At 36.9% G+C, this 12,963-nt stretch overlaps 1 protein-coding gene across 53 annotated transcripts in view, besides 2 other annotated features; it reads right to left on the reverse strand.

Moving 5' to 3' along the window:
• The window catches only part of CAMK2D (calcium/calmodulin dependent protein kinase II delta), a 310,707-nt gene that overhangs the window by 139,808 nt on the left and 157,936 nt on the right, over window positions 1-12,963 (reverse strand). The gene's annotated exons all lie outside the window — the stretch shown is intronic.
• Window positions 2,614-2,908: a silencer, noted in NCBI's record as "tiled region #13729; HepG2 Repressive non-DNase unmatched - State 16:ElonW". NCBI's record gives its function as "represses a minimal TATA promoter and a strong SV40 promoter by Sharpr-MPRA in HepG2 cells {active_cell/tissue: HepG2}" and the evidence as "EXISTENCE:reporter gene assay evidence [ECO:0000049][PMID:27701403]".
• Window positions 2,921-2,970: a silencer, noted in NCBI's record as "silent region_15646". NCBI's record gives its function as "represses an Ori minimal core promoter by ATAC-STARR-seq in GM12878 lymphoblastoid cells {active_cell/tissue: GM12878}" and the evidence as "EXISTENCE:reporter gene assay evidence [ECO:0000049][PMID:35858748]".

Genomic DNA, 12,963 nt, shown 5'->3' on the forward strand with positions numbered 1-12,963 from the left:
CACACAATATGACTGTATATTAGGTAAAATACATGTATACATCAAGAATGAATATATTAAATTTCAGCTGATGTATGCTCAATAATTGCTTCTACTTTTTGACTTATTTAAAATGTGAAATAATAAGTCAACATTAAACAACTAATAAGTCAACAATTCAACAGATGTTTGTTGAGTGCCTGGTATGTTTTAGTGCTGTTTACATCCTTGCTTTAGTTAGTAAAGGGAAGGAAGGTCTTCTCTCAAAATCTGCTTGTTTGTCAAGTCACATAGCTTCCTGGGACCTATTGCCATTATCTTTCCTATTTTAGAAGTTTTACTTATTTTATTCACGTAGTCAAAATTCAAAAAAAAAAAGGGAATAAGTACCTATTTCTGAGTCTGCTAAATGTCTATTAACACAATGTCATTGCATTAACTGTTGTCAATGACACAGCTATCAGCTAGTCAAACCATCATGAGAGATAAAATCTTCTTTTCTCTAATCAGATTATTGTAGTTATTTAGAAATGAAATGTTCTAAATAGAAGGCTTCAATAGAAGAGGTTCAGATCCAATTAATCATCATATCTATTACTTTTACCCCTTTAATTACTCTCTAAACTTTCCACTTTTATTCGCTCCCACTGCATTGCTCAGTTCCAAAAACTAGCATCTCTCACTAGGATGCCAATGTTCTCCAACTTGTAGCTAGAATGATTTCTCTAAATGTGTATCTCATCAGGTCACTCCCCTTAACTCTATTTTAAAAAATCAGGATCACATTTTAATGCAAGGATGGTAAAACTGGAAGTTGCTTTGGAAATTGCTCCCAGCTGGTTTCTTCAGTTCTCAGAGCCTTACCGTGCTCTCCTTTCACCCTTAAATGTAATAGCTCATCCACACTAACCTCTACATTTCTACAATTTTCCACGTCTGTCCCCTCTGGGCCTTTGCACATGTTGTTCTTCTTGGCATTGCAGGGAGGAGCTAGAATCTGTGACTAAGTAAATTCTACTCAATGTAGAGTCTTCTGTGTCTTCCCATTCCCCAGCTCATTAGACACCATTTCCTTCTGGGAGCTCACCTTGTCTTAGGGCTCACCACAGTTTATGGTTTCTTGTCTCTACTAGGTTGTAAGCTCTTTGTAGGCAGATATGTCTTATTCATGGGTTTACCTCTAGTACTTAGCAAAGTTCTTTGCATATAATTAGTACTTAATAAGTATTCATTGAATGAATGTATTATAATAGCAAATCTATTTACAGAGAATGTCTAAAGTACCAAAGCTGAGGGGGGTTGGTGGTTGTGGTTAACTGCAAGCCGACAGCAGAACCTGCCAAGTTTGGGTGTCTCAAGTAGAAGTGAAAAGTAAGCAGGGATTAAGTGGGAGTTGGGCTTCCTGTCTGCAAAGTCCAGGCTGGGAGATGAAATGGATGAGTGCATGGCAGAAAATATCATCACATACTGAAGAAGCTGACTGCTAAACTTAGCCTAACATGTTTTAAATTGTAACTTTTCCAGATTCTCTTTCATAGCAGAATGTCACTGACAGTCCACAGATATTGTCTCCAAAATGGCAATTAATACTGAATACAGCAATTCTAGCCTCTTTCAAGGAGAACCATCTGACCCAGAAGCTGAAAAGAATTTACTTAAGAAGGCACCAATTTAATAAGCATCCATGATTTTACATTTAATTAACTTTTTGAGAAAATTGTGCTTTCAAAATCTAGTTAAACAAAAGAGGTAGTAAATCTCTTTAATGCCTCAACATCAAATTCCAATGGAGTATGATTTTTTTTAAAGTTTCAGATTTTTTTTTCTGAGAAATATCAAACTGCTTTTATTATCCGTCTCGGCAACCTATAATATATAAGAAACAGATCAAACTAATAATCTTAAACATGTCTTAAAAATGTAAATTTCTAGTCTTGATTTCTGACCTCCAGCTAATGAATTATTATGCCTTGCTTGTATTTTCAAATCCAAACCATTTAGTAGTTTATAACTGGATTTTTATAAAATTTGACATTTTATTTATTTATTTATTTAAGACAGAGTCTCTTGCTCTACCCAGGCTGGAGTGCAGTGGCATGATCTCAGTTTACTGCAGCCTCTGCCTCCCGGGTTCCAGTGATTCTCCTGCCTCAGCCTCCCAAGTAGCTGGGATTACAGGTGTGTGCCACCATGCCTGGCAAATTTTTGTATTTTTAATAGAGATTGGGTTTCGCCATCTTGGCCAGGCTGGTCTCCAACTCCTGGCCTCAAGTGATCTGCCTACCCTGGCCTCCCAAAGTGCTGGGATTACAGGTATAAGCCACTGTGCCCAGCCTAAATTTAACATTTTAAATAAAGCATTATGAGGACTTTTGGTTTCCGGTATGGTGTGTAAGGAGCTTAAAAGTCCATCACTCTGTAATTAGAACAAGTAAAATACTGAACAAACTGACAAATTAACACTCTTCTTAGATCTGCCATAGAAGTGAGTTTACAGTGCAAACTGCTGCCCCTAAAATTGGAGAGTAAGACAGGTTAGGATAGAGTGTCACAATTTATCAGAGCAGAAATCCACGAGCAGAAACCTCCTCTGAACCATCATGAGGTAGGAAAACATAAACTTTTAACTGATGAATTGCTGAAGGATCAGTGTGGACAAGTCTGAAAGATAAAAACTTTAGGGGGACCTAATCTTAAGGGGATCCTCACACTTCTGTGAGTTTTACTTCCAAGAGTTGTATCAGAGCTTCACAGTGAATACCAGAGGAAAAATCTCTTTCTGCTTCTGGAAGAAGGAGGAGAAAAGAAACAACTTTGAAATATGGCAGAGAATGCTGTTTGTCTTAACAAGGTCTGCCCTCAGGAACAACTACTTTAGTAGAGCCCAACCTGCTGGGGTTTTATCAGAGTCTAACAAACCTAGGGAAATAGAAATCCCCAATTCTACCCAGCTGTACCCTTAAGCACCAGTGTAGATCACAGTCTAGAGGTACAGGCTTATGAAAAGACTGAGATCTAAATATAGGACTACAGAATGCTTCCTCTTTCCCCATAACTTACCACTATTATTATTGAAGGCTTATTTACCAGAGTTGTGCTTTTTTTTTTCCTAACCTAGTGTATTAGTCCATTCTCACATTGCTATAAAGAAAAACCTGAGACTGAGTAATTTATAGCAAGCTTAACTGGCTCTTCTTCAGGCTGCACAGGAAGTATGGCAGCATTTGCTTCTGGGGAGACCTCAGGGAGCTTTTACTCATGGCAGAAAGCAAAGCAGCAACAGGCACTTCACATGCTGAAAGCAGGAACAAGAGAGAGAAGGAGGAAGGCCACACACATTTAAATGAACAGATCTCAGGAGAACTCACTCCTTATCACGAGGACAGTACCAAGAGGATGGTGCTAAACCATTCGTGAGAAATCCAACCCCATGATCGAATCACCTCCCAGCAGGCCCCACCTCCAACACTGGGGATTACAATTCAACATGAGATCTGGTGGGGACACAGATCCAAACCATATCACCTAGTACATCATGCCCACCTTTCAATAAATAACAAGGCATACTAAAGGGCAAAAACACAGTTTGAAGAGACTGAAAAAGTTTCAGAACCAGAGTCAAATATGACAAATATGTGGGAATGATCAGACCAGACATTTTTTAAAACTGTGAATCATATATGAAGGGCTTTAATGGAAAAAATAAGATGCCATGCAAGAACAGGTGGATGATGTAAACAGAGAGATGAATATTCTAAGAAAGAATCCAATAGAAATGCTAGCTTGACCATCAAAAGCACTATACCAGAAAAATGGAGAATGTCTTTGATAGGCTCATTAGTAGACTAGACAGGGCTGAGAAAAGAATCTCTAAGCCTGAAGATATGACAATAGAAAAAACTTCTAAAACTGAAGAGCAAAGGAAGAAAAAGACTGATAAAAAAGAAAGCAAAGAATATCCAAGACAACTTAGATTGTGGGACGATGACAAAAAGTGTAAATATGTGTAATTTGTGTAATGGGAATAGTGGAAGGAGAAGAAAGAGAGAAAGAAATAGTAACAACATTTGAAGCAATAATGACTGATAACTTCCTGAATAATTATTGTGAGACAGCAATAACAGTTTGACAGTTTCCTCAGATCCAGGAAACTCAGAGAACACAAGGTATGATAAATACTAAAAAACAATCCCTAGGCATACCACATTCAAACATCAGAAAAACAAAGAAAAAGAAAAAACAAAGAAAAAATCTTTACAAAGATTCTCAGAAACTAGGCAAGAAGAAGAGTGTGGAATGAAACAAAGTGTTAAGAAGAAAACAAAACCAAAAAACCCTAGAATTCTATATTCTGTGAGATTATCCTTCAAATGTGAGAAAATAAATACTTTCTCAGACAAACAAAAAGAAACTGTAGACCTGTCTTGCAAGAAATGTTTAAAACAAAGTTTTCAGGAGAAGAAAAATTACAAAGATTGGAAACTCAGATCTACAGCCAGAAAGAGAATCAAAGAAGGAATAAGTGAAGACAATAAAAACTATTTTTCATATTCTAAATTGATCTAATAGGTAACAGTTTGTCCAAAGTAATAATAGCAACAATTTATTCAATTATGTATGCTTGTGTGTGTGTGTGTGTGTGTGTGTGTGTGTGTGTACTTATGTATAAGTGAAATAAATAACAGCAGTGATACAAGGGACAGGAGAGAAGACTAACATTTTGTTATTATAAGATACCGATACTACCCATGAAGTAGTATAGGAGATATTGTGGGTTCAGTTCCACACCACCACAATAAAGCAAATATTACAATAAAATGAGTCACAGCTTTATTTCACAGTGCATATGAAGTTATGTTTGCACTATACCATGGTCTATTAAATGTGCAATAGCGTTATCTCTAAAAACAATGTGACATATCATAATTTTAAAATACTTTACTGCTAAATACGCTAATGATCATCTAAGACTTTAGTGAGCTGTAACCTTTTTACTGGTGGAGGTTCTCGCCTCAGTGTTGATGGTGCTGACTGATGGGGTGGTGGCTGCTGAAAGCTAGGGTGGCTGTCGTAGGTTCTTAAAATAAGGCAACAATTAAGTTTGCTGCATATTGATTGACTTTTTTTCAGGAAGTTTCTCTGTAGCATGTGATGCTGTTTGATAGCATTTTACCCATAGGAGAACTTCTTTCAAAATTGGAGTCAATCCTCTCAAACCCTGCTGCTGTGTTATCAATTAACTTTATGTAATATTCTAAATCCTTTGTTGTCATTCAACAATGTTCACAGTATTTTCACTAGGAGTAGATTCCATCTCAAGATACCACTTTATTTGCTCATTCATAAGAAGCAACTCCTCATTCATGGAAGTTTTATGCTGAGATTACATCAATGCAGTCACATCTGCAGATTACACTTCCAGTTATAGTCTTCATGCTATTTTCACATCTGCAGTTATATCTTCCACTGGAAGCTTCAAACATCTCAAAATCATCCATGAGAGATGGAATCAACTTCTTCCAAACTCCTGTTAATGTTGTTATTTTTACCTCCTGCCATGAATAAGTAATGTTCTTAAATGGCATCTAGAATGGTAAATCCTTTCCAGAAGGCTGTCAATTTACTTTGCTCAGATCAATCAGAGGAATGACTATCTAAGGCAGCTATCGCCTTACAAAATGTGTTAATAATAATACTTAAAAGATAATATGACTCATTGACCCAGAGGTTGCAGAATGGATGTTGGGTTCGTAGGCATGAAAACAACAATCATCTCTTTGTACATCTCCGTCAGAGCTCTTGGGCAACTAGGTCAATTGTCGGTGTGCAGTAATATTTGAAAGAAATCATTTTTCTTCCCCCCCAGGCAGTAGATCTCAATGCCAGGCTTAAAATATTCAGTAAACCATGATGTAAACAGATGTGCTGTCGTCTCGGCTTTGTTGTTATATTTATTGAGTACAGGCAGAGTAGATTTAGCATCTATCTTAAGGGTCCTAGAATTTTTTTTTTTTTTTTTGAGATGGAGCCTCGCTCTGTCGCCTAGGCTGGAGTGCAGTGGCATGATCTCAGCTCACTGCAATCTCAGCCTCCCGGGTTCACGCCATTCTCCTGCCTCAGCCTCCTGAGTAGCTGGCATTACAGGTGCTCACCACCAGGCTGGCTAATTTGTTGTATTTTTAGTAGAGACGGGGTTTCACCGTGTTAGCCAGGATGGTCTCCATCTCCTGACCTGGTGATCTGCCCATCTCGGCCTCCCAAAGTGCTGGGATTACAGGCATGAGCCACCGCGCCTGGCCGGGTCCTAAAATTTTTGGAATGGTCAATGAGCATTCATGTCTTCTTAAAGTCATCATATGCATTAATCCCTCATGAGAAAGTTAACCTGTTCTTGAAAGCTGTCCTTTAAAACTTCTTGTCTCAAGCTATGAAAGTCCCAGATGGCATCTTCCTCCAATAGAAGATTGTTCCATCTACATTGAAAATCTGTTTTTAGTGCACAAACCTTCATCACTTATCTTAGCTAGATCTTCTGGATAAGTTACTGCAGCTTCTCCATCAGCTCTTGCTGCTTCACACTGCGCTTTTTTGTTATGGACATGGCTTCCTTCCTTAAACCTCAAGAAACAACCTCTGCTAGCTTTCCTCTATTCTTCTGCAGCTTTCTCACCCCTCTCAGCCTTCAAACAATTGAAGAAAGTTAGGGCTTTGTTCTGGATTAGGCTTTGGCTTAAGGAAATGTTATAACTGGTTTGATCACCTATATGGACCAATAAAGCTTTCTCCATATTAGCAATAAGGCTGTTTTGCTGTCTTATCATCTGTTTGCTAAATGGAATAGCACTTGCAATTTCCTTCAAGAACTTTTCCTTTGCATTCACAACTCAGCTAACTGGCGCACAGGTCTAGCTTTCAGCATATCTCTGCTTTTGATATCCCTTCCTCACTAACCTTAATTCTTTCTAGGTTTTGATTTAAAATGAGAGATGTGTGACTCTTCCTTTCACTTGAGCACTTAGAGGCCAGTGAAAAGTTATTTATTGGTTTAATTTCAATATCTTTGTGTCTCAGGGAATAGGAAGGCCTGAGGAAAGGGAAAGAATGGGGGAATGGCCAGTCAGTGGGGGCAGTCAGAACACACACAACTTTTCTACAGATTCAATGAAATCCCAATCAAAATCTCAGCAAGTTATTTTTTGATATATACTAACCAATTTTAAAGTTCATATGAAAAGAAAAAAGACCCAGAATAGCCAAGAGAATATTGATGGAAAAGAACAAAGATAGAAGACTGACACTACTCAACATTGAGACTTACCATAAAGCTACAGCAATCAGACACTGTGCTATTGGCAAAAGAACAAACAAAGAGATCAACGGTACAGAACAGATCTTTGAGTATAGAAATACACTCTCATAAGTACAATCAACTGATCTTTGATAAAAGAGCAAAGGCAATACACTGGAAAAAACATTCTTTAATAAATGGTGCTGAAACAACTGAAAACTCACATTAAAAAAAAATGAATGCAGACACAGACCTTACACCTTTCCCCAAAACTAACTCAAAATAGATCACACACCTATGTTTTATGTAAAACACAAAACTCTAAAACTTCCCAGAAAACAAAGGAGAATATTTAGATGATCTTGGGTATGCTGATGACTTTTTAGATATAAGACCAAACACATAATCCATGAAAGAAACAAATTGATAAGCTTAAAAACTTAAACTTAAAAACTTCCACTCTGCAAATGACACTGTTGAGAGGATAAGAAAAGCTGCAGACTGAAAGAAAATATATCCAAAACACACACCGGATAAAGCTTCTGTTATCCAAAATATACAAATAACTCTTTTTTGTCCATTTGTTTGTTTTGAGATGGAGTGTCACTCTGTCACCCAGGCTGGAGTATAATGGCTTGCAGTATCTTGGCTCACTGCAACCTCTGCCTCCTAGGTTCAAGCCTCTCAAGTAGCTGGGATTACAAGCATGCACCACCATGCCCAGCTAATTTTTGTCTTTTTAGTAGAGATGGGGTTTCATCATGTTGGCCAGGCTGGTCTCAAATTCTTGACTCAAGTGATCTGCCTGCCTCAGCCTCTTGAAGTGCTAGGAATATACAAATCACCCTCAAAGCTTAACATGAAAATGAACAATCTAATAAAAAAATGGATGAAAAACCTGAAGAGATACCTCACCATAGAAGAATGCAGATGGTAAGCGAGCATATGAGATGATGTTAATCATTGTATGTCATTAGGAAATTTCAAATTGTAACAATGGAATATCACTACACACCTATTAAAAAGGCCAATATCAAGAACACTGACAACACCAAATGCTGGTGAGAATTCTTACAAAGGTAAAGCTATGGAGACAGTATGGAGCAACAGGAACTCTCATTCATTGCTGGTGTGAATGCAAAATGGTATAGCCACTTAAGAATACTGGCAGTGTTTTAGAAAACTAAATATACACTTACAACATGATTCATCAGCAGCACATTTAGGTATTTACCCAAATGAGTTGAAAACTTATGTCCATGCAAAAACCTATATATGGATGTTTATAGCAGCTTTATTCATAATTGCCAAAATTTGAAAGCAGTCAAGGTGTCTTTCATTGGGTAAGTCAATAAACTCTGGTACGTCCAGACAATGAAATATTATTCAACGACAAAAGGAAATAAGCTATAAGGCCATAAAAAATAAATAGAAGAAATCTAAATATGTACAGTTGATTCTTGAACAACATGAGGGGTAGAGTATCAACCCCCCAACAGTTGAAAACCCTTGTATAACTTTTGATTCCCCACAAATTTAACTACTAATAGCCTACTGTTGACTGGAAGCCTGAAGGATAACAGAGTTGATTAACACATATTTTGTATGTTACGTGTATTATATACTGTATTCTTAAAATAAAGTAAGTTAGAGAGAAGAAAATGTTACTAAGAAAATCCTAAGGAAGAGATAATAAATTTACACTCATTAAGTGAAAGTGGGTCATCATAAAGGTCTTATCCTCATCATCTTCACATTGAGAAGACTGAAGAGGAGGAGGAGGAAGAGGAGGAGGAGGAAGAGGAGAAGTTGGTCTTGCTGTCTCAGGAATGGCAAAGGTGGAGGAAAATCCACGTATAAGTGGACCTGTGCAGTTCAAACCCATGTTGTCCCAGGGCTGACTTTATTACTAAGTGAAAGAAATCAATCTAAAAGGTTATATACTGTATGATTCTAACTATATGATATTCTGGAAAAGGTAAAGCTATGGAGACAGTAAAAGATTAGTGGTTGCCAGAAGTTGGGGGTAAGGAGGACAGAACAGGCAGAAGACAGAAGATTTTTAGGGCAATGCAACTATTCTGTATGATCCTACAATTGTGGTTACAGAACGTCACACATTTTTAAAAACCCATACAATGTAAAACACCAAGAGTGAACCCTAGCATAAATTATGGACTCTAGGTGATAATCATGTACCAAAGTAGGTTTATACAGTAGTACAATGTACTATTATAACTAATGTACTAATGTTGTATGGGGATTTTGATAGTGTAGGAGGTGGTAAACTTGTAGAGATAAGGGTATATGGAAACTTTCTGTATTTCCACTCATTTTTGCTGTAAACTTAAAACTGATCTAAAATATAAAGTTTATTAGAAGTTTAAAAAGAATTGTCAAAGTTTCAAAAAATCCTATAGTCCACAATATTTTATCTAACTTCATGAAGATGAATTATAATAAATATGGGAGGTGATATAACACCAAGAAATCCAGATCTGTATTAAAAAGGGCAATAATAATAATAATTACCATTTTTATTTTAAATTGAGACAGGGTCTCGCTCTGTCAACTAGGAAGCAGTGGCATAATCTTGTCTCACTGCAGCCTTGATGAACCGGGCTCAAGTGATCCTCTCACCTCAGCCTCTCAAGTAGCTGGGACTACAGGTGCATACCACCACACCAGCTACTTTGTAAAAATGTTTTTGTAGAGATGAGGTCTCACTATGTTGCCCAGGCTGATCTTTAAGTCCTAGGCTTAAGCAATCCTCCTTCCCCGGCCTCCTGAAGTGCTGAGGTTACAAGCATGAGCCACAGAATTAATGTGATGGTATAGATATGTTAAGAAGAAATCCTTATTCTCATCAAAGAATAAAAATTACTAAAGCAAAGAAACAAAATAGAAATAGGCCCTCTGGAATTTATGACAATTATCCCTGAAAAAAATTCTGATATCAAATAGTATTTATCACGAAGAACCTACCTCCTTCTGTAGGTTGTAACTAAAGAGTCTTTAGGAGACAAGTTTATATCTTATCCCACACAAACTGAAAGTTTTCACGAACATAAAGGAAACATGATACGTGGGTAGAAGGATTTAATTTGCCACTGTGGAGCACCATAATAGAGAGAAGTTAATCGTGTATTTTGCCTTCCACTCAGAATAGAATCAAAAGTATATGACAAAGCATCCCTTTCTATTAAAAGGACAGAATGTCATGAGCATTTAAAGTGTTCTTCCTTAAAAAATATAACAAAATCATTAATTGTTTTATTAATTTTTCAATAAAAGGAACACGATCCGGATATGCCCTTTCATGAGGAAAAAAAAAACCACTAAAATTGTTAGTATACGTACTGGAAAACCAGTATTTTTCCCACATGAGACATACTAAAATTCTAGATTCATTGGTTTTCACTATAATGAACATTAAATTTCATTTTAAAATAGCCCAGATGTTTTGATTCAAACAAAATTCCATTTTCTAAAAACAAACAAGAAATTTAGTATAGTTATAGCATCAGGGTTTGCTATTTAAAATATAATGCATTTTATGTAGATTAACTGTTTATTCTTTTTTTTTTTTTTTTTTTTTTTTTTTCATTTTTTAAGTCAGGTTCTTGCTCTGTCACCTAGAGTGCAGTGGCGTGATCACAGCTCACTGCAGCCTGGAACTTCTGGGCTCAAGTGATTTTCCGCCTCAGCCACCCTAGCAGCTAGGACTACATGCAAGTGCCATCACCACAGACTGATTTTTAAAACTTTTTTGTAGACAAAGAGTCTTGCTATGTTGCCCAGGCTGGTCTCGAACTCCTGGGCTTAAGCGATCTCCTGTCTCAGCCTCCCAAAGCACTTGTGATTAGAGGTGTGGACCACTGTGCCCAGCCTCCTTCTTAAATACAAATGATGATCTTGAAACAAAATTTGTAGACTCAGCTATGTTCTATAAAGTATTTTCAAAGGGATTACACTATTTTAGTTCTTTTTTTTTTTATTTCTCCCAACACCTTACTTCAGTGACTTCTAACTGGGCTAAGCTATCTCTAAACTAAGTCCATTTTTGCTTGAAGCTGTCTACACAGAACAATATCGTGGCAAACGTTGTATTGTACTGTAATTACTAATTTTTTTTTTGGTCTCTTGAACAAGTATTCACTCAACAAACACATAATACGGATTTTCTCTGACATACAGTTCCTGAAATAAATGTCATTAATGAAGGGTAACAAAATATGTCACTCCAAAGTATGCCACTTGTAAAAATTATTTTTTGCTGAAGGCAATTGTGAAGAAGCAGATACAGATAAAGCTCTTTGCTTTCCCTCTGTCTGCCTAAAAGCATGACATAAATTTGTAGAGTTTTCTCTCCTGCCCTCTCTCCAGGGAAGGCAGAAGTTAGTGACAACCTAGAGCCTGAGCCTGGAGACTGCACCAGAGGAATCCGCATAAGAAACTTTACTACAACCAGCCATTATCTGCCATTAATTATCCTCATCTATTTACCTTCATACAATTTGCTGTTCCTATAGACTCAAAGTCCTCTTCCTTTGTTTTGTCTCTTCTCTAAGAATTTATTGTTCTTTTAAGATGATATATAAGCTGAAGTTCTAACCACCCTTTTGAGTTACTCATCTCTGAGTGCTTCCATGTGAACGTATTATACACAGTTTAATAAACGTCTGTTTGTTTGTTTTTTCCTTAATCTTTCTCCTGTCAGTCTAATTTGCGGGGTCCCAGCCGATAAACCTAAAACGGGTAGAGGGAAAACAATTTTTCAAGCCAACACATATGTTCAGGTGACTGCCCATGTTAAAGCCTTATTTACCATTAGCCCTAGAAATGAACTTGATCTGTGATCTGCCTTATCTGCTTAAGGCTGAAGTCTCTGCCTGAAGGCCTCTCCCTTGGGGACTACAATCTAGCTCCACTTCTCTTATCTTTCGGTAAATTCACATCTCTATAAACTTAGCCCTCCTTGTTCTCCAGAGCCGCTGAGGTGTGCCTAGAAACCATGCTAGGCACAAACCCTGGAAAGGATTATTTGAAAAAAATCAGGGCAGTTCATTATTTGCTGTAAAGATGACTTTGCGTTATTTTATTTTATTTTATTTTATTATTATACTTTCAGTTTTAGGGTACATGTGCACAATGTGCAGGTTAGTTACATATGTATACATGTGCCATGTTGGTGTGCTGCACCCATTAACTCGTCATTTAGCATTAGGTATATCTCCTAAAGCTATCCCTCCCCCCTCCCCCCTCCCCCCACCCCACAACAGTCCCCAGAGTGTGATGTTCCCCTTCCTGATGAGTTCATGTCCTTTGTAGGGACATGGATAAAATTGGAAATCATCATTCTCAGTAAACTATCGCAAGAACAAAAAACCAAACACCGCATATTCTCACTCATAGGTGGGAATTGAACAATGAGAACACATGGATACAGGAAGGGGATGACTTTGCTTTCATAAAAGCCTTTCCCATTCATTCCTGAGTCTATGTGCAAAAGAGACTACTAATGCCTTATTGTTAAAAATGGCTAGATAACTGAATAAAAATATATAAATTTAAAATAGCAAGAAATATATATATTTCTTGTTATTATATATGTTTCTTGCTATTATATTTCTTTATATATATCTTTCTATATATTTCTTGCTATTTTATATATATATATATATATATATATATAT

Source organism: Homo sapiens, chromosome 4, assembly GCF_000001405.40.
Source record: "Homo sapiens chromosome 4, GRCh38.p14 Primary Assembly".
Lineage (NCBI taxonomy): Eukaryota > Metazoa > Chordata > Mammalia > Primates > Hominidae > Homo > Homo sapiens.